Source organism: Homo sapiens, chromosome 2 (genome assembly GCF_000001405.40).
Source record: "Homo sapiens chromosome 2, GRCh38.p14 Primary Assembly".
Classification (NCBI taxonomy): Eukaryota; Metazoa; Chordata; class Mammalia; order Primates; family Hominidae; genus Homo; species Homo sapiens.
The window spans coordinates 184847390-184871315 of record NC_000002.12 but is presented as its reverse complement, the minus strand read 5'-3'; the positions used below and the strand labels follow the sequence as shown (position 1 = coordinate 184871315).

The 23926-nt window shown below is 34.6% G+C and overlaps 1 protein-coding gene across 1 annotated transcript in view; it reads right to left on the bottom strand.

The window, feature by feature from the left end:
• Window positions 1-23926, bottom strand: part of ZNF804A (zinc finger protein 804A) — a 340964-nt gene that overhangs the window by 68177 nt on the left and 248861 nt on the right. Inside the window, exon 2 of the mRNA NM_194250.2 lies at window positions 4804-4947. Coding sequence (NP_919226.1) covers window positions 4804-4947 — 144 coding nt within the window. The remainder of the gene's footprint in view (window positions 1-4803; window positions 4948-23926) is intronic.

Sequence of the window (23926 nt, the reverse complement as noted above, 5' to 3'; positions counted from 1 at the left end):
TCCCAGGTTACAAAGCTCACAGTGGTATCTACTCTTCATTCAATTTCACTCTTTGTAGGTGATTATTACTGTAGGTCCAAGTTTTAGCCAGTAGCTTCCTACTCCTCAGCCTCCAAGGGTGGTGTTGGTAGCAGGGGCTCTTTGGAGATATCATCCTTTATAGGAACTCAGCAACTGAATTAAGAAAATTGTATTGTGGAAGATCTATTTATTTTGTAGTAGAAGAGTCTTTCAGAGTATCTTGTATGCTCTTCTGATGAAAGTGAAAATTCTAAGGCATTTCTGAAAGTGTTATTTGCTCTTAAATCATGTTCTCACATGGAAAAACAATGTAAATCCAAACTATATCAACATTAAATGGTTTTATGCATGTGAAGAATTTTATAGAGTGCATATATTATATGTAAATTGTTGCTATTATTATCATCAGTAGCATTACTCTTCTGAAGGATGGACATTTATGAATGTTCGAATAACTCATTCATCTTGTAACAGTCACACCATCCTCATATGTAATATTCTCCTTACAAATAGTTTTATCTAAGTTTAAATCCATAAATAGATCATTTTGTTTTTTGAAGCTCTTACCTACCACAAAATTTTGACTTATTACAAAATCTCAAAATGAATTTTGACACTAGCCTTTTTACACTTATATATATGAGCAGCATTAATTGGGTGTCTAAATTGTGTATTTTTTTAAGAAACAGTGAACGACTTGAATGGCACATGGAAGAGTTAACAATAGCACTAATTATAATTCTCCAGTTTCTATATATTTGAGTTAGCAGAGTTTCAGAGAGTATGAGATCAAAATATTGGATTTTTTCATGATATTTCCTCCTTTAATGAATTATTATGTAGTATTTGATCTATGCAATCATATAAAGCATTATAAACTAAGTTGAATATCTCTGATACCACTATCTAGTTTAAGAATTAGAACATATTTCACATACTTACGTCTCCTATGGTATCCCATCACCCTACATCACCCCTTGAAGTAACCACTATCCTGAGTGTCATATTCATCATTTTCCATTTTCCAAAGAAAGATTAATCACATATATCTGTAACCTTAAAAATGAAAGCATTGCACTTTGCTTTACTCTGGAGAATATAAAATATAAAATCTCAAAATGAATTTTGATTCTAGCCTTTTTACATTTATTTATATAGCAGCATTAATTGTGTCTAAATTGTGCAAGACACTTCACTAGACACCGGGAAGATAAGGGCATGTAAGAAAGAGTCCCTGCCCTAAAATTGTTACAATCGAACATCTTTTGAGTTACAAAGTTAAAAAAAAATTCAAACAAAGATACTGTAATTTGTGAGCTATTGTAATCATATCTGTACCCCTGTATTTCTTCTTTCTTTTTAACCCTCTGTTAGCAAGTCTTAGTGATAAGTGAGAGAGATTTTAAAGTTATGCAAAGAGAATGTGGATGAAAGGAAACCGAATTTCCTTTGAAGTTTAGAGTTCAAAGCAACACATATTCTGTCATAACAGATTTGCAAAGATATATGAGGCATTCACAACAGCTCTTAGGTCCAGATTACCTGGATGTGTTTTAAAGACTCTATTAGCCTACATGAAGTGAAAACAGATCCTCATTGGGAGGCCTAAATAAAGAATGGTCTCAAAGGCAAACTGTCAGTGTCCCAAATATTCTAGGAGAAAAAAAATTTAGTAAGTAATAATAATAAGAACGTATTAAATATTAAGCTTTTACTATTTTCCATGTACTCTGCAATGCATATTAATGTGCATTCTCTCATTTAATTTCCCTAATAATAGACAGTTGAGCTCATTGGGCGTTTGATTATTTAACCCAAAGTCATATGGCTGGTAAGAGACAGGGTTAGAACTCATTCCATTAATAAATCCTCCTCCCTTTTTCTATTCACTTATTGGCCCTTGGTATCATATCTCTGTAGGAAATGAATGCATCAGTAGTATGCACAATTTGCCTTTTTCTAATTCCATTCAGGAAGTGCTCTAATTCCATGTAAGTACCCATATGACACTTAAGTGCTTAAGTGACTTACTGCATACAAGTTGTAGGAAAGACTGCTTTTAGGAATTTGAAGGCCAAATGGATTTTGAGTATATGGGTTGAGTGTCCCTTATCTGAAATGCTGGAACCAGTATTTTGGATTTCAGAAATTTTTTTTTCAGATTTTGGGATATCTGCATTATAGGTACCCAGCTGAGCATCCCACATCCGAAAATCCAAAATCCGAAATGTCCAAATGAGCACTTCCTTTGAACATCATGCATTTCAGCGCACGAAGAGTTTCAAACTTTAGAGCATTTTGGATTTCAGCTTTCCAGATTAGATATACTCAACCTGTACCTGTTTCTTGTAAAGGTATTTTCTATGGGAAACCAAAAAGATTGCTTTGATCTTCAGAGAGCTTAATATTTTATGAAGAGTTTTTTTTGGTTGCAGGTATTAACAAGCATTAGGCTGGAGTTTTAGTTTTATTTGCTCATTTGCTTTGTCTTAAGTATGTTTATTAGCAGCAAGCTGAAATGTCTCTCAAAACTCAAGGACAGGATCTGCATAAAAGTTGTAGGAAAGACAGCTTTTAGGAATCTGAAGGTCATTAGGAATCAAAATTGCTATTTCCATACTCTCAATTGTCACAGGGTCACTTGTATCTCATTCTCTTTTAAGTTTGTTTTGTTCTCTCTTTATGCAAACCAGCTTTCTCAGCTTTTTAATCAACTTCACCACTGAACAATCCCTACATTTTTAAGTGTCAAGTACAGCCATTATCAGACATTAGGCATTTTTTTCTTTTTAATCACATCCCAATTTCAAGTTCTCAAGAGAGAAACATCTGAATTGTCTATATCCAATCTGTTTCCCCCTCTACTTCATTCAAAGTGAACAATGTGTTAGAGTCATGTGGTAGAAGTATATATTGATGGTCATAGCGATGACGTTATTTTTTCAGAAAAAGGAGAGCATTCTCTAGGAAGACACGCTCAAAGACGCACTATTATCTTACGGGGAAGGCATAAAAGATTCTATAGATTTTAATATTTTTAGCTTCTGGAACATCATATCACATTGAATTAATCAATTAGGACTGTGCTGTCTACCAGAGTTTATGAGTATTTTGATTGAGTAGCTGTTTTTAGGATTTGATCACTCTGAGCATTGTCAAAGGTGGGCCTCTAGAATACCAAAATTGCAAGCCAGATCCAACCCAAATTCCCTTTAACTTCTCTGTATAGAATATATAGTATACTAAGTTCACTAAGAATAAGAAACTGAAAATGCCCTTGGGCTAACTTTAGTAAGTTTTATCTTCAAGACAGCCATATGGCTAAATGAAGCATTCTTTTGCAAATGATAATAGATATTCTTATAACACACATGCATTTCCAAATACCTACTTTACACAATGAGACATATGTGTAGTAATATACTCAGGCTTTTAGATACATAGGAAAAATCAGAGGAATGACTTTCTCAGACTTCAACTCTTTCAAAACAGCATTCCAGAATTATTTGATAAAACAAACGTCAGTAACATTATCACAAAATAATACCATTTCCTAATGAATGTTAATGTTCAAATCAAGCAATGATATACTTATGTATGTATTTTTATGTAAGAAAAGGAATATTTCCATCAAAACCTTTCCCTTAACCAGTGGGCCAACAGATCTACTACCAGGGGAAAGAAAGGCAAGGACAGATCATTAAGCTAAGTATGCATTAATCGGTGAAGTATGTAATTGAAGGGTAAATTCTTCCCTACACCATCCTCTCCAAGCACAGTGTAGTTGGTATGAACGACTGCAGGATTGACAGCAAAGGAAGTACACACAATTGGTTCATTATCGTTTAACATGATCACTTTCCCTACTTTTTCTTTCTTACAATAAATAACTCTGATATAACAGAAAGTTAGGGCAGGTTCAACTGCTTAAAAATGTACCTTTAAATTCATATCAAAATGAGTACTCGGCATGGTATTTGAGGGTGATAGCTAAAATAGAAAATGTTTATAAATTAATGCTAATACTGTGTATTGTATCAAGTTAGCTAAACAATGAATGAAGTTGCATTGGTAAATATAAGGCATATTAGAAAGTGGAATTTGTATTAATTACATTTATAACACTACTATTTAAAACTCATTTACATAGAGTGTTGAAAAATCTAGGATTTATAATTGATAGTAATAATTAATCTGGGATTTATAATTGACAATAAAATGAAAATATTAAAATGAACAAAATCATAGATATATTAAGTACTCAATCAATAACCTAGGACCATTTGTAGTACACTCAATCTTTTTTTCACATGTTTTCATAGTAGCTTAAATCCAAAATGCTTTCTATGGAAAACTATGTTAAATTTTATTTAACTTTGATAAATATATGTATATATTAGATTTATAAATAACATGCAATAAATATATAATATAATGCATAAATTATTGATTTAAATATTTAAAACAATACATTTGAGGACAATAAGAGGATCATCACTTGTAGAATATTGTTTTCGAAACACTTTTACTCATTAAAAGGCAATTGAATGGTATTTCTTTATGTTGATTATTTCAGACTTTGCTATTGGTGCCTTTTTTTTTAAAAAAAAAAAAAAGGATTTTGCTGTAAGTCATCAAATTATCATCCCAGAATGATATATTTCAAAACTGTACAGCAAATTAAATTAAATAAGAATATCATATCATATTCATAGAGTCTACACAATTAAAACTATTACACAAGTCCAGAAATGCCAGAATTTTTTCACATCTCTTTCTTACCTGCTTGTGAGCATGGTCATATGAATTAATGTGATTGTCAAACTCCTGGTGCTTATAGTACTGCTTGTCACAGAGTTCACAGTAAAAATTTGCCTTCAGATCTTCCAGAGCTTTTGCTATGGTATTTTCCTTCTCAGCATAGTCCTGAAAAATAAAATTTCAAGGAAGGATACAATTAGCTCTCCCCTGTGTTTACTTTGTTTTAGCAGTTGTCAACTATAGTACAATAATTAGAGTTAGAAACAGAATACAGCAAAGAGAAAAAGAAAGCAAATACTAGAAAACCAAGTTAGAATAAATTATAACTTAAAAATTAAAAGACTAACAGAAGAAGCCAAGATAAATAACAGAAAAATAGCACAAATGTGGAGGAGAAATGCAAATGATAGAAATAAATAGAAGTCCTTGATTGAACAAGTTCCTATGCTAGGTTAGCATAAAAACTGAAAATCACATAGCTATCTTGATTCAACTGTGGATTCCTGGCAATGACTCAGCTAACATAAAATTTTTCTATTCTGAACATGTAAAATGTGTTCTGTTTGAAAAGGTCTATATTTGTGCACAAATATACAAGTTTTGTATTTTGTTTGTTTCAATTATCTATATAGTAACTTATTATTCATTCCATCTAGGCATTTAACTGGACTGATTTTTTTTTATCCTGACCCATATCAATTTAGAATGAACATTAAAATAATCTCTATTTATTGGAAAAGAAAACCCTTTTCTGCGGTTATTTCAGTTATTTACCTAAACTGAAAAGGATTAAACTGCACAAGCAGATTGTTTTCATCATACTCACAGTAAATAAAGACAGTGATATAACCAAACCCCTGAGAAGATGAACATATAGCCAGTCATCATTAGCTTTTGTTTGCAATGCATAAAATGGCCAAATGTTTGACTGTGGATTTTAAGTTACATTAAAGATAAATTACTTGCTATTTCATGCTTACTTAAATGTCAATGAAGTAAGTGTCACAAATAATGGCAAAAGAGCCTAGCACCTCCTTGAAGCTCTTTCTTGCCCCCTCTCGCCACATGTGATCTCTGAACCTGTTGGTTCCCCTTCTCCTTCTGCCATAAGTGGAAGCAATCTGAGCCCCTCACCAGATGCAGTGTTCAATTCAATGTTGCCAGACATGAATAAAGTTTACACACGGAAACACTGTCCAATTCTTTCACTGAATAAGTGAAAATTGGACAATGTTTCCGTGTGTAAACATTATTCATGATGTGAAGAAGACCTAAACTTCAGACCTCACTGTAAAATATGTTTCTAACTTCCAGATTATCTTATATACAACTCCTTTAAAATTCAGAATAACTAGGCCTGGCGCCGTGGCTCATGCCTGCAGTCCCAGCACTTTGGAAGGCCCAGGCATGTGGATCACTTGAGGTCAAGAGTTCAAGACCAGCCTGACCAACATGATAAAACACTGTCTCTACTAAAAATATAAAAATTAACCAGGCATGGTGGCAGGCACCTGTAATCCCAGCTACTCGGAGGCCGAGGCAGGAGAATTGCTTGAACGTGGGAGGCAGAGGTTGCAGTGAGCTGAGATTGTGCCACTGCACTCCAGCCTGGGCGACAGAGCAAGAATCTGCCTCAAAAAAAAAAAAAAAAAAAAAAATCCTAACTATATATTCAAGTCTCTTACTTACTATTATAAAACACACTTTTAGCACTGATATTTTTAAATAAAATGTAGTCCTCTATATGGCAATGGCACTTATCCTCCTTAAATACACAAACTAGAAAGGACTTATAGTCTGAAATTAAAGCAATTTGTTTAAATTGTTTCTACAATACTGAAAAGTGGTTCACCAGTAATTTAATACATGACTAATACTTTGCTTATGTTATTGCACTGTATATTCATGCATACATCACATATAGTAAAGTTCACCATGGTTTGGGAGGCATAGTTTATAGTAATCAATGCATACATTTGCCATAATACATAGCTTACTTTCTCATTTTAAAGATAATAATCTATTGTTATGTTTTATTAGTTGTATCAACTGCACAACAAAGGTGACTCTTACAGTTTGGATAATTTTCCCTTCTAAATCTCATGTTAAAGTGTGATTTTCAATGCTGGAGGTGGGGCCTAATGGGAGGTGTTTGGGTGATAAGGGCAGATCCTTCATCAATAGATTAACACCCTCCATGGAGGATTGAGGTAAGTTCTTACTATATTAATTTTCTTGAGAGTTGGTTGTTAAAAAGATCCTAGCATCTTCCTATAGCTCTCTCTTGCTTCCTCTTGTACCGTGTGATCTCTGCACCCACCAGCTCCCCTTCCCCTTCCATTATGAGTGGAAGCAGCCTGAGGCCCTCATCAGATGCAGATGACAGCACCATACTTCTTGTACAGCCTGCAGAACCATGAGTCAAATAAACCTATTTTCTGTATAAATTACCCAGCCTCAAGTATTCTTTTAGAACAACACAAATGAACTAAGACAGTGATAAATCACAAAATAACTTAATTTTTTATGCATAATTCCATCAATTTCAATAAGTAATGCACCATTTCTCAGCAAATTTGTCAATTATTCCTACTTATACTAATTGATTCTTCCAATATGTTAAAAACTCTTAGCTTAAAAAGGTAAAAGTAAGTAATATAGACCCAAATTGCTTATTGAATTTTCACTAAAATCTTCAAAATAATACTTTATGGATTAGTCAATTTAAAGGAAACAAAAATTAAGTAATATGATTTCATGGCTAAAGCGTTTGAGGCAGAGATAACATTCTAATCAATAGAGGAAATGAAAATAATTTTGGGATTAAAGCTGAATTAGCTCTCTGGACAATCTTAAACCAACAGAAATTTCATGGTAAACTAGTTGATTTTCCCCATTCATTATAATTACAATAAAGCTACTTCCTCTCTCTAAATATTTGATTAGCTCTTATTATGTTGTAAGGTGTTTTTTTTTTTTAATAAGTTTGATATTCCTCTAGAGAAGCAATAATTGGTTTCTGTTTACCCAGTCTACAAAAGTGGGGAGGTTTTTAGCGGAACAGACTTCTTGGTCAAATTGCATTCTTCAAAAATATTAGCTTCAGCCCAGTTTTAAAAATAAAAACAGTAATTTAAAAGTAACTATAGCTATTAGCTAGTGCTTATTTAGGGTCAGTCACTGATGAATAATTTGGATGTATTAACTCATTTAATCCTGATTCTTTTCATTTCCTCACTTTACAGATGGAAATAATGAAGCACAGGAAAGTTAAGTAGCTCCAGGATATAATGAGCAAATGTTCACTCCATATTTAAACCCAAATATTCTTGTCCATAGCATTTAATTATTTCTAAACTTTTAAGCACATAAAAAAGACAGAAGAGTATAATAATCCCTATGTATCCACTATTCAGCTTCAATAACTATGAACTCAGGATCAATCTTGATTTATTGTATCCTATCCCATCTCATACCCTTTCATCTTACTCAAATAATTTTTAAATGTCTTCCTAGCTTTATATCACTTTATCTGTAAATATTTCAGTATATCTCTCTAAATCAGGATGACTTAAAGAACATAATCACAAAAGCAATATCAGACCAAAACAAAGAAACAAAAACAGTAGAGAAACCACAATCATTTTTTATTGTCATCAAATATCCCAGTCAGTGTGTGCAAATAGCTCCAATTCTCTAATATTTAAAAATAGGTTGTTCAAAACAAAATTCCATTAAGGCCCATATATTACCATCTTCTATGCTTCTTAGTCTCTTTTATTCTGTATTTCCCCATCTCTTTGCTTTATTTCTCATTACAATTTATTTTTCAGAAAAAAATTAAAATTATACTTCACATTTAAAAAAAGTTAATAACTATAGAAAAGTTACAAAACTATGATAAAAGACTCATATGATTTTCACTTAAATAAAATTATTGTTAACATTTTGATATATTTGTGTGTTCTGTTGCTTTCTCTCTATCTCTATCCTCCTCTAAATTATTAAAGGAAACATAGCATGGCTGAAGTTAAGTTTGCAAATGATAGTACAATTACAAACATTTGAGCCAGACTTTCAAGTTGATGTTAAGTGCAATTAAGGAATCAAGGCTGTGTTCTAGAAAACATTATCAGAGTAAAAAAGACTTCAATATTGTATGTGCATCTTAAGGGAAAGGAGTCATATGTATTGTTACTGATCATACATTTAAAAACATGTATGTAGACAAAATCAGTCCTAGTTAGGCTGACACGTTCCATGACCCCTCTCTTTCATTGTGGCTAATATTGAAACAGGTACTGACTGATACTTTAAAGCACATATTAAATACAGCCATCCCACTGCAGAAAGTAAGAGATACATTTGAGTGAGATGAAAAAGGAGCACAGCCGTTCTTATATATACAATCCAAAATGTTCACCCTCTATCTGGTAAAGCCATTCTAGGTTGAACTATGAGCACAGTTTCTGTACTGTGTCACTGAGAGTGAAGGCACAAAGTGAAAAAGAAGGACAATCTTCCTGCAACGAGTCAGGTCATTCTAACTCAGCACTTTTTACATATATGTAAAAACAGTAAAGGCTGAATCCTTTCTTTTAGGGAAGCAGTATGCATATACCTTCAAGTTATAAAATCACAAATCTTAATGGGTGACCACAGCAACTTGGCAGTATAATAAATTTTGTAGACAGCGAAGTGAAATAGAGAAGATAATGGTTTATCCACACCCCAAGGACAATCTATCCCCCAATACTAAAATATGAATAGCACCAAAGTAGAACTTTGAAGGGAGAAACATTATTTTCCAACATGACGCAATTCATAGTAGCCTCATCATAGCATATGGCCTCTTTCCTAAAGTACTGTTAGTAGGGTATATACAAGTAACCTTCCCTGACAAGTGTGAGCTCTCTGAGGGAAAGAATTTGTACCTGTTTTCCTTACTGTTGTATTTCCAGAGCTTTTATCAGAGCCCAGCATTAGCAGACACTCAACAAATAACAAATACATGACATTAGGACTGTGCTTTTTGTCTTCAAAATGAGTACAGAAGGAAAGAGGGTCAATGTCAGCAAGATGATGGAAAATAGGACACCCTAGTGCTTATTTCCTGCAGAAACATCAATTTAAACAACTATTCACACACAAAAATACCTTCATAAGAGCTAAGGAAACCAGATAAGAGATTGTAGCACCTGTGTATAGTGCAGAAATAAGAAAATACCCATTGAAGAATGTAGGAAAGATAGTATTACATTACCTATGTCACCCTTCCACCAGCTCCAAGCAAGAAAGCATGGAGAGATATATTTTCCACATGAGGAAGGAGAGGAATGTGAACATAGGACTTTGCTTCAGATCCCAACACCAGTCCTGTCCCCCCAAAAAACTAATGCTGGGCAGGGCCCCAGAGCCGCAGATTCCAGGACAGTACCTGTGGACTAAGCCTCTAGATCTGCTCTAGCACCAGGTTAGATTCTATAGCCCTAGGCTCCAGGCCTGAGCAACAGACTTGATCTTCAGTCTGCTCCACCACTGTGCTGACCTCAGTAGCCCCAGGCTCTGGACCTCATCCAGCACAAGGCTGGCCCACAGCAGCCTCAGGCTCTGATTTGCCCATACCCTAGGCCAACCCCAGAGACCCAAGACTCCTGAATGCGCCAGCACTGAGCTTGGCCATTGCCCCAGGCTTTAGGCCTTCATCAGCTAAAAGTCTACTCCTGCAGCCCCAGTTATCAGGTCAATACCTACAAACTCAACTCCCAGGCAATCCCCTGCAGACACAGGATCCAGGTCCAGCCATTGCCATGCCACTGCCTGTGGCATCAGATTCCAGGCTGGTACCCACCTACAGGGCCTCCAAGTCCACCCTGGCACTAAGCAAGTTCCCATAGTTGCAGAAATCAGGCTATCCTTGCGGACTCTTTCTGGGCCTTTCTTAGCACCAGGCTGATCCCAGTAGTCTCAGGCTCTGGATCACCCTAGTGGACCCATGTGCTGGGCCAAACCCAATGCCACACTGGCCCCTGCAGCCCTAGTCATTAGGTCATCACTTGAAAACTCAGCCTCCAGGCAAGTTCCTGTGGATATAATCTAGGTTCATTCACTGCTAAGCCAGTTCTTGTGGTCCTAGACTTCAAGTCTGCCCTAATGCCAAGTTGGCACTTCTGGCCTCAAACATCAAACAGGTAACCATGGACACAGGCCCCAAGACTTCTTTTGTTTAACCAGGTTCCAGGCTATTGACTGAGGACCCAGGACCCAGTCCAGTTCTCACAGACCAAGCCTCTAGGCCAGTACCTATACATCTAGCCTCTAGGCCAGCATCAGCAGATAAAGATTACAGGCAAGTCCACATGCCCTGGACTCCGGAGGACCCAAGGCCAAGGCCCACCATAGTATACTCCAGTGCCAAGGCACACCCTATGGACACTGAGGACACTCAGGGCCCAAGAACACCCCTGTAGACCCAGGTTCCAAGCCAGTCCTCATGGACTCAGGACCCAGACCTATTCCTGTGGAGTTAAGGCTCCATTTTCATCCCAATGGAACCAAATGCCAAACCCTTCCTAGTGGGTAGCCAGCCCTTGAAGACTCAGGCTCATGGCCCACCCCGGTGCCAAGGCAGCCCCTGTGGACACAGGCTTAGGAAAGCCATAGGTACTAGGCCCACCTACCTCCTGACCTAGGCAGCAGGACAACTCGACTTTAGATTCCAGCAATAAGCCAACTGTTGAATCATGCCAGGTGGCCTGCTCAGAATCTCTGGACAGACTGACTGAAGTAGGGTTTCCCAGACAAAGAACCTGGAATAATAAACTATTTCTAATGCATACACATCAACGTAAGGCAATAAGAACCATGAAAAACCAAGGATATAGAAGAACATCACCAAAAGAACAAAATCTCCCACTAGCTGATCTAAGAAAATGGAGATATAAAAACTGCTTGAGAAAGAATTCCAAATAATTGTTTTAAGGAAGCTCAGTGAACTTTAACAAAACACAGAAAAATGAGTAAATAAAATGAGGAAGACAATAAATGACCCAAAATAATACATTTAATAAAGAATCAATAATATATAGAATAAAGGAAATTCTAGAGCTGAAAAATACAATGAATGAAATTAACAATGCATTAGAGAACATCAACAGCAGAATTTACCACAACAAAGAAAATCTGTGAACTCAAAAAAGAATATTTAAAAATATACAGTCAGAGGAGAAATAATTAAAAAAAAGAATAAAAGATCCTTATGGAATTTATTGAACAGCATCAAGCAGCACATATTTAAATCATAAAAGTATAGAAGATGAGAAAAAAGAGGGTAGAAAGATTACTTTTAAACACAATAGCAGACACTTTCAAAATTTGAGGAAAGATATAAATATCTAGGTACAGGAAGGTCAAAGATCTCCAACTGTCAAAAATTAAAGACAAAGAGAAAATCCTGAAAGCAGCAATAAAAAAGAATCGAATAACATATAAAGGAGGGCCAATAAAACGAGCAACATATTTCTCAGCAGAGCACTTACAGGCCAGGAGCCAGTGGGATGAATTACTTAGGTGTTGAAGGAAAAAAACTATCAGCTAAGAATATTGTGCCCAGCAAATCTGTGTTTTAGAAATGAAGGAATGTTAGACTTTCCCAGACAAACAAAAGCTGAGGGGTTAACTTATCATTAGACTTGTCTTACAAAAATGGATAAAGGGAGTTCTTCAAGCCAGTAACATGAAACATATGAAAGTGTAAAACTGACTGATAAAAGTGAGTACTGAAAAAGTAGGTACAAATTAAGAATAATCTAATAATGTAATGCTGGTGTATAGACCACTTATATATTTAGTATGAAAGTTCAAAAAAATATTTAAAATAATTATCATTACAATAATTAGTTAACAAAAACACACTATTAAAATATGTAAATTAAAACATCAAAATACATGTCAAGATGGAGTGGAATGAAAATGTAGAGTTTCTTAATGCTCTCAAATTTAAGTTGTTGTTATCTTTTTTTTTTTTTTTTGAGACAGAGTCTCACTCTGTTGCATAGGCTGGAGTGCAGTGGCGCGATCTCGGCTCACTGCAAACTTCACCTCCCAGGTTCAAGTGATTCTCCTGCCTCACCCTCCCGAGTGCCTGGAATTACAGATGTGTGCCAACATGTCCTGCTAATTTTTATATTTTTAATAGAGACGGGGTTTCGCCATGTTGTCCAGGTTGGTCTTGAACTCCAGACCTCAGGTGATCCACCTGCCTCGGCCTCCCAAATTGCTGGGATTACAGGTGTGAGCCACTGCACCTGGCCTAAGTTGTTATTATTTTAATGCAGCCTCTTACAACTATAAAAAATATATATATTTTAAGTTTTACAGTAACCACAAAGCAAAAATACATAATAGATATACCAAAGATAAAAAAGTAGGAATAAAAGTCTATCACTAAAGAAAATAGTACTTCATCACAATGGAAGGGAAGGCATCGAGAGTAGAAGAAAGAAACAAAAGATCTACAAAATAACCAGAAAACAATTAACAGGAAGACAGCAATAAGTTCTTACCTATCAATAATTACCTTGAATATAAATTAATTAATTTGTCCAATCAAAAATATAGAGTGGCTGAATACATTAAATAAACAAGACCCAACTATGTGCTTCCTTTAAGAGATTCATTTCACATGTAAAGACACATAGAGGCTGAAAGTAAATAAATGAAAAAAGATGTACATGCAAATGAAAACCAAAATAAGTAGCTATACTTAGATAAGACAGGCTTTAAGTCAAAAACTGAAAAAAAGATTAAAAGGTCATTATATAGTGTTAAATGGGTCAACTTAGTAGAGGCTATAACAATATAAACATATAAATATTGTAGTGTGTAAATACATAAAACTAATATTAAATATCTGAGGGGAGAGATAGACTATAATATAATAATATTAGAGAAATTCATTGCTCCATTTCCAGCAATGGACAGTTCATTCAGACAGAAAATCAATAAGGAAACATGGGACTTAAACTACATCTTAGACCAAATGGACCTAACCAACATGTACGGAGTATTATATTCCACAGTAACAGGAAATACTTTCTTCTCAAGTGTACATGGGACATTCTCCTGGATAGCCTATATGTTAGGCAACAAAACAAGTTTTAATAAATTTAAGAAAATTAAAATTATATCAATCTTTATTTCTGATCACAATGGTATAAAACAAGGAATCAATAACAAGAGATATTTTGGAAAGTATGAAATACATGGAAATTAAACAACATGCTTCTGAACAACCAATCAGTCACTGAAGAAATTAAAAGGAAAAATTTAAATTATCTTCAAACAAATGAAAATGAAAGACAATGGAAAATAAAACCAAAACTTAAGGAATGCAACGAAAGCAATCCAAAGAGGAAAGTTGGTAGCAATAAATGCCTACATCAAAAAAAAGAAAGATGTCAAATAAACAACATAATATTACACTTCCCAGAACTAGAAAAAGAAGATCAAGCTCAAAGTTAGCAGAAGGAACGAAATAGTAAAGACCAGAACAAAATCAAATGAGAGAAAGACTAGAAAAACAATAAACATACATAATCTACCAAGACTGAATCATGAAGTACTGGTTGAGTATCCCTTATCTGATATGCTTGAGACTAGAGTGTTTTGGACTTAAAATTTTTTCAGATTTTGGAATATGTGCATGTACATAATGAGATATCTTGGGGATGGGACCCAAATCTAAATACAAAATTCACTGGGTCCTTCATATATTCCTTAACATGGCCTGAAGGTGATTTTATATAATATTTTCAATTATATGCATGCAACAAAGTTTGAATATACTGAACCAACAGAAAGCAAAGGTGTCACTATCTCAGCCACTTCTGTACGATCTGTGGTTGTTTGGTATCACCATCATTCCTGATTCTGAATTTATACGCAACTGATAAACAATCATTTTCTTATACTTACACATACGTACTTAACAGTAAAACATATGACATGCTATTATAAAGTGAAAAAATAATGTGTTCAGGGTAACTAAGCAACACAGTAGCAACCCCAGAATACTTGTGTAAATGGTTGAATAACAACAACACTAAAAAACAGCAGACTTTCACTCTCTACCTATGACGCTTTGTTTTCATTAAGAGATTACTGTACATCATTTTTTTTTTTAGATAAAAAGAAACATTGGAAACAGTTGAGGGAAGAGAAAGTGGTTCCTCTAGAAATGAGAAGAAATTTGGAAAGATGGCTTTTTAAAATGTTTCCTCCAGAATCATTTGTTTCATTAACAATATGTGTTTTAGAAATCTGTCTTTGATTTTATAAACTGATATGCTTTATGGTTCTTTATATCATGGCTTACAATACATGCTGCTCTAGTCCTTGAAAAAAGCCCATCACACATATTTACTATGTTGTCTATAGGAGCTTGTTCTGCACTATTAACAACAGCATTTTGATTGTTACTATTATTATTATCACCTTGCTTCAGAATCGTTTTGGCTATTTCTCCATTTATCAGTAAATGAATAACTGGAGTCTCATTATTGACATTAAAAAGTTATTTGATAGTCATTTGTTTCTCCTTACTGATGGACTCTGGAGGTCTGTTTCTGAGGATTGAAGGAAGTCATACATTATTTTATTATCTCCTGACATAGAGTCCTTCAAAGTGAACACCTGGGTTGTTTTCATTAATGAACATATTCACATGACAGGGATTGTGCCTGACATGAACAACTGTGTCTTTAGTTACTGTGTTCCAACTCACTGAAAACAGAATATATGGCGTCCATCATGATACACTCCTCCTGAAAACCTTCCACACCCACCCACATATTCATTCGCTGCTGTTAGTGTGTTGTTCAAGAAAGTGCTTTATATGTGTGTGTGTGTGTGTGTGTGTATATATATATATATGTGTATGTGTACATTACAGTATATATATACTTTCTCTATATATACTCTTCATTGATCTAAGAATACCCTGGTCACAGGGCTGAATTCATGAAGTCACATTTGGGGGACAGTACATGCTATAAAAGTTATGTTTGATGAGAATTATAGCTGGAGGAGGAGAAGAAAAATTTTCAAGAAATAACAAAATCTGGCTGTTTTCATCAAGTCCATCTTTCCAGCAGTAAGCGCAAGCCATTGAAAACAAAGGTTTGTGAAACCAATGGGAAAAGATGTCCTTGGTGATTTATGCCTTTTTTGTTAAGGCAATAATGTACTGGTAGGATATTCACTCCCCGAAAACACTGAGGACACAACTTTTGACTATGACAGCAAGTTTACACTTATGCATGCCTACTGCATTAGCATATCCCAGCACAGTCATTCTACCCATGGCATCCTTAATTTCTATAGGGGCTGTCTTATTGGTTGTAGTCAGTGTCTTTCCAGAGCAATAACACCAAGACAGTGATGTTTAATCAGCGTTATAGATTTGGTTTATTACAGTCTGTAGACTTGGCATCAGATCTTCATCAGTGATAACTTTGGGAAATACATTGATGAATTTTCTACTCCTTTGTGACAAGTAAATATGTTATCAACACATTTTTTTTAAATTAATGTCGTGTCTTTTCTTAAATTGCTGCAACCATTCTGTTGAATATTCACATTTCTATTCAATTTATAGTTCATTGTGATAGATCTTTGCTTGTTTCATGATCAGCATACCATTAAGTAGCATATGTTTACTTCAGTGCTGACAGATTCACTCTTTCAAAACACAATCAAGATCTTCATTTTAGCTTTATAAAGTGTTTTACTATTTATCATTAACTTCTGTTGATCACTTTCATTATAGCACTTCAACAGTTTATCCTTCTCTTTCTTCAGGTTTTATAAAGAGGTCATTCCAACATCATACTCTTCTGTAAGACATTACACACATTATTGTTCAGTTTGACTTTTTGTGCTACAGATGAACATGAATGCTTTTATTCTTACAACTGTTAACTATAGAAAAATCTGTAGGTCCTTTTGACATTTTCAGCAATATTTTTACACCACAGGGTAGTGAATAAGCAAAAATACAGTGGGTAATGCACATCGAACTTTACCCTGTATGAGGCATCACAGGGAACTTGTTGTTGGCATATCTGGCCTGCATGCATATCATTTTATTACCCTATGTGGGAATACTTGCATGGGGGAATCTGAGCAAGTGTGGAAAAGTTATTTCACAGCTGCAAGAAGCTGGATGTTTTTTCCTGGGGGATGTTGAATAAATTGTGTAGTGTGCCTGTATTTTGACTGTGATCCATCACATGAGGTCAGGTATAGAATTTTCCACTTGTGGCATCATATCAGCTCTAAAAATTTTCAGATTTTGGAGCATTTCAGATTTCAGATTTTTGTATTAGGGACACTCCACCTGTAATAGAAACTCTGAACAGGCCAATAATGAGTAGGAAGATCAAATCGTTACTAACAAGGATTAAATAAGAAGTCTCCCATCAAAGAAAAGCCCAGGACCTGATGGCTTTACTGCTGAATTCTACCAAACATTTAAGGCTAATACCAATCCTTCTCAAACTCTCCCAAAAAGTTGAAGAAGAGGAAATACTTCAAACTCATTTTATGAGGCCAGCTTTACTCTGATATGAAAATCAGACAAGGATACTGCCAAAAAAAAAAAAAAAGAAACAAAATTAAGGTTACTATCCCTGTAATATCAATTTTTTTTGGTGGAAAAATCCTCAGCATAAAGTACTAGCAAACAAAATTCAACAGCACATTAAAATCATTATTTACCAAGATCAGTTGAGATTTATATTGGGGATGCAAGAATGGTTCAGCATACAAAAATCTATAAATATGACACACCATATTAATAGAAAGAAGGTCAAAAACCGTATGATCATTTCAATAGATGCAGAAAAAAATTTAACTAAACTCAACATCCTCTCATGATAAATGCTCTCAAAAATTAGATATAGAAGGAATATGCATTAACACAATGAAGGCCATGTATGACAAACTCAAAGCTAACATCATACTCAATGGTAAAAAGTTCAAAGCTTTTCCTCTGATATCAGAAAAAAAGACATGAATGCTGATTCCTACCACAACTGTTCAACATAGTATTGGAAGTCCTATCCATACAATTAGGCAAGAGATGAAGTCAAAGTTCCTTGTTTTCAAATAAAATAATCTTATATAGAGATAACCCTAAAGATTCCACCAAAGTTCTGTTAGAACTAATACATAAATTCACTAAAGTTGTAGTATATGCAATCAACATATAAAAAATCACTAATGTTTCTATAAAATAATAATGAACAATCCAACACAGAAAGTAAGAAAACAATTTCATTTAAAATAAGTACAAAAATAATGGGCATAAATTTAACCAAGGATGTGAATAACCTGTACACTCTTTAAAGCACTGATGAAAGAAATTGAATGACATAAATAAATGGAAAGATATTCTGTGTTCATGGATTGGAAGGATTAATACTTTAAAATATTCATCCTAGGCAAAGTGATCTACAGATTAAATGGCACCTCTATTATACAATTCCAATGACATTTTTCACAGAAATAGAAAAAAAATCCTAAATTTATATGAAACCAAAAAAGAGTCCAAATAGTCAAAGCAACCTTGAATAGAGAGAACAAAGATGGAGGCATCACACTAATTAATTTCAAAATATGCCACAAAGATATAGCAACCAACATGTTGTTAACATTATAAAAGACACATAGACCAATGGATCAGAATGGAGAGTTCAGAAATAAATATACACATTTACAGTCAATGCATTTTTGGCAAAGCTGCCAAGTACACACAATGGGGAAAGGATAGTCTGTTCAATAAATGATATTGGGACAACTAAATATCCACATGCAGAATAAAATTTGACTTTTGTTTCACATCATATACAAAAACCAACTCAAAATTGATAAAAGACTTAAGCATAAGCCCTGACACTGTAAAACTGCTAAAAACAAAAAAAGCCGGTGGGAGATCTCTATGACATTAGTCTGGCAATATATTTTTGGCAGTGACTCCAAAAGCACAGGCCAAAAAAAAAAAAAAAAAAGCATAGTCAAATGAGATAACCTCAAAGTATAAAGCTCTGCACAGTCAAGGAAACAATTAATAGGATGAAGAGACAACCAACAGGACAGGAAAAATACAGTAGCCCCCTTTTATCCATAGTTTTGCTTTCAGTAGTTTCAGTTACTGATGGTCAACCATCCAAAAAATAGGTGAATGCAGTACAATCGGATATTCTGAGAGATAGAGAGAGAGAGAGAGAGAGAGAGAGAGAGAGAAAGAGACCGCATTCACATAACTTTTATATTCAGTATATTATCAGTACTATTTGTGATTTCAAGCATCCACTGTAGATCTTGGAAAATATCCTCCACAGATAAGCAGGTGACTACTGTATTTTCAATCATAAATTTGATAAGGTTTAATAACCAAAATTGATAAGAAATTCAAATGACTAAAGACTAAGAAAACAAATAACCTGATTAAAAATGGGCAAAGGACCTGAATAGACATTTTTCAGAAGAAGACATACGAATGCCCCAAAGATATATGAAACAAAATGCTCAGTATCACTAATCATCAGAGAAATGCAAAGTAAAACCACGATGAGATACCACCTCAAACCTGTTAGGATGTCTGTTAGCAAAACACAAAAGATAGCAAGTGTTGACAAGTATGTAGAGAAATGGAGCCCTTGTGTTCTGTTGGTGGGTATGTAAATTAGCAAGCCATTATGCAAAACAATATGGAGATTCCTCAAACATTAAAAAATAGAACTACCATATGATCCAGCAATCCCACTGCTAGGAATATATCCAAAAGAAATGAAATTGGTATGTTGAAGAAATATCTGTACTTCAATATTTATTGTGGCATTATTCACAGTAGCAAAGGTATGGAATCAGCCTAAACCTCCATAGATGCATGAAGAGATAAAGACAATGTGTTGTGTATATATGCGCAGTGGAATGCTATCACTCTTTAAAGAGAAGAAAGTCCTGTCATTTATGACAACATAAATAAACCTGGAGGACATTACGTTAAGTGAAATAAGTCAGGTACAAAAAGACAAATACCACATTATGTCACGTATACGTGGAACCTAAAAACATTGAACTCAGAAGCAGAAAGAGAATGGTGGTTCCCAGGGTATAGGGGTAGGGGTTGAGGGTATGGAGAGATGTTCGTCAAATAATACAAAATTTCAGTTAGGAAGAATAAGTTCAATAGATCTAGTTTCACAATATGGTGACTATACTTAATAACAATGTATTGCATTCTCAAAAACTGCTAAGAGGGTAGATTTTACGTGCTCTCTCCACAAACAAATTAAAAGTATATGAGGTAATGCATATATTAATTAGCTTGATTGAGACATTCTACAATACATACATGTTTCAAAACAACATATTGTTCATGGTAAATACATAAAAGCTGCCAATTAAAAATAAATTTTATAAAAGAAAATGTGTAAAAAAGCAAACAGAACAGAAATTAGAAGTACTAGATTCATATATTATTAAAATAACCGCTCATGGTTGGGAGTGTGGTACCCAGTCATTTCAGGGACACCTTTGTAGCTCATACCAAGCTAATGTACAAATTACCATTGATGAATAGTAGTTGTAATCACATACATCCTTGCATTTCTACTAGAAATATCCCATTTAAATAAGTTAAAATTGCAAAGATATAAATAGATTGGGAACTGTTAATATATAATTATTTTAAATGTTGAAAAATAACATTTGTATCTAATTAACATTTAAAATGCTTTGGAAAATCACTCTCTCTCTCTTCCCTACTGCTCCTTCAAGGATAAAAAGCATCTTTGCTTTTATCATTTTGAAATGAAATTTATATGTAGTGTAAATTTCATTATAAGTTCTTAAGAGAGAAAGTTAAAAAAAAAAGAAAGAAAGAGAAAAACATCATTTGCTAAATTCTGATTATACAAAAAAGATTCATCAAGGGAGAGAGGGGAAAATTGTTCTCTTCTGGAAGAATATTTCCAGACAGAATAAATTCATCTGGAAATCCATAATCTATACTTCCTATGCAATAGTACATATCTTTTATTCTACTCGTTGCTTAACTGATTGAGTCAGCCAGTTTCCAGCAGCTTCATGTAGTACTACTTGACTGCATTTTTAAATTAATTTTTAATTATTATGGGTACACATGATGTTTTGATATAGGCATATAATGTCTAACAAACACATCAGGGTCATTGGAGTATCCATCACCTCAAGCATTCATCATTTCTTTGTGTTAGGAACCTTCTAATTCCACTCTTTTAATTATTTTAAAACATACAGTAAATTATTGCTGGCTGTAGTCATCCTGTTGTGCTATCAAATGTTAGATCTTATTCATTTTAATTACATTTTTGCACCCATTAACCATCCTCACTTTTTACCCCCACTCCCTACTACCCTTCCCTGCTGCTGGTAACCATCATTCTACTCTATCTTCATGAGTTCAATTGTTTTAATTTTTAGGTTCTACATATGAGTGAGAACATACACAATTTCTCTTTCCGTGCCTCCCGTATTTCACTTAACATAATGACCTCCAGTTACATCCATGATGTCTCAAATGACAGGATTTCATTTCCTTTTATGGCTGAAAAATATTCCATTGTGCATATGAACCCCATTTTCTTTATCCATTCATCTGTTGATGGACACTTAAGTTGATTCCAAACCTTTGCTATTGTGAATAGTGATGCAATAAGCATAGGAGTGCAGATATCTCCTCAATATACTAATTTCCTAGCACTGGGATTGCTGAATCATATGGTAGTTCTATTTTTAGCTTTATGAAGCACTTCAATACTATCCTCCATAGTGACTGTACTAATTTACATTCCTACCTATGGTATATGAGGATTCCCCTTTCTCTACATCCTTGCCAATATTCATTATTGCCTATCTTTTGGATGGAATCCATTTTAACTGGGGAAAGATGGTATCTCCTTGTGGTTTTGATTTACAGTTCTCTGATGTTTAGTGGCATTGAGCATTTTTTCATATAATACTAGCAGCCTAGTTCCATTCTTCTGCATTATTAGCAGTCTCTTTCCATTCTTCCATATAGATATCCATTTTTCCCAGCAGCACTTACTTAAGAGACTGTCATTTCCCCAAAGTTTGCTTTTGTCACCTTTCTGACTGCGTTATGCCTCAGCCTATGCTGAAGCATCTTTCACTTCCTGTCCAGGGGCTACTATAACTCATGGTATGGGAGCTTGCAAAATCCCGCTCCATACTGATAAATTAACAACCCAAAATTCTGAGAAATTAATACCACATGGGTCCACCCTTGACCACTGTGGCTGGTGAGGGCTCAAGTGTAAATTATTTTCTCTTTTATTTCACAGGCAGGCATTTTGAAGATACATTTCTAAGATTTTAAAGAGGGTCACAGTGAGATGGAGCACCAGTTAGTTGTAATAGTGGCAAACAATATAGCAGTATATTTGTTTTCCTTTTTTACCTTTTCTACTTTTCTAGAACTCCATTTCTGCTTTCTGGGATCACTTCTCAAATAAATTATCTACACACAAGCCTTTGTCCTAGGCTTTACTTTCAAGAAGCACTGGGCTAAGATTATAAGGTTTTTGTTATTTTCTATGAATATCTTGCTGTGAAGCTATGTTTTCTAGAATTTAAGATGTTATCATTCCTCAGTTAAAATTGTTCCAATAATTCCTCACAATTATTAGCATAAATACCCTTACAAAGTCTTTACAGGTTTTATGCTACCTGGTTCCTAGCTACAGCTGTGTCATCATCTTCTATCATGCTCTCTACCTCACTTAACCACCCTGATTGTCTTAAAGTTTCTGAAGCTTTCATAACTATATGCCCACTTTGACACTTGGACTTGTTATTTATTCTTCCTAGAATGTTCTTATAACAGATGTTTGCATAACACACTTGTTCACTTCTTGCAGATCTCTGTTAAAAATGCTATTTTCTCTACTTCTGTTATCATTTTTCTAGAAGAGAAATACTTTTTAATCTTTGTTTTATTTCCCTCTTATATCTTTCCTTTTAATATAAAGAGAAAATTTATTCAGGAAGAAACAGTGATAGAATACCTTTGGGCATTGGAGTCTCATAGCTATATTAACAATGAGGGAGAGACAGAGTACAACATAAGCATGTGGAAAAAGTGGTTATCATATTGTGATATAAGAAGTACATAATTGGGCTTTATCCCTTGTTCCTGGCACAGAGCTGCTAAAAATGTTTGGATTCTCCCAAGTGATTAGTGCCTTTTTTATGCTAATGAGATGATTGGTGGCTGGGTGCTCCTGAATAGCTTCAGGATGGGAGTTGGTCACTAGAAAGTCCAAGACATGATTAGAAGGTTGGAACTTTCGATCTCACTCCCAAACCTCTAACAGGGAGAGAAGGGCTGAAGATTGAGTCAATCATCAATGGCTAATGACGTTATAATTAATGTCCACACATTGAAACCTCCATTAAAAAATCCCTAAACTATGGAAAACAGAGGTGCTGGAAATGTGGTGCACCTACAGAGGGCAAGGAAGCTCCACAACCCTTCCCCATACTTTGCCCTGTGCATCTCTCCAATCTGGCTGTTCCTGAGTTTTATCCTTTGCAATGAACTAGTAATAATGAATAAATTATTTGCCTGAGTTCTCTGAGTCATTTTTGAAAATTACCAAACCTGAGGAGGGGGTCTTAGAAACTCCCAATTTAGAGCCAATGGTCAGAAGTACAGGTGATCTGGACTTGAGACTGACATTGAAAATGGGAACAGTCTTATGGGACTCAGACTTTAACCTGTGGAGTCTGACATTAACCCAGTTGGTGTCCAGAGATTTGGAGGATTAATTAGTGTGAGGAAAAAATACCCACGTATGTGGTGTCTGAAGTGTTGTTGTAGAAATACATCCTGGCAGTACTAATGCTAGTCTTTATCTTGTTGAAATCTTTTCCCTGTTTGGCAAGAGGGCGACTGTTTCTGGGTGATAAAAAGCTTTGCTGTTGTCTCATTATAAATGTCATTCTGCTCTGAAAGGTCAGGTTCTATTATCTCAAAGGCTGAAGAATGGATCATAAGATGATTTTGAAGAATATAAAA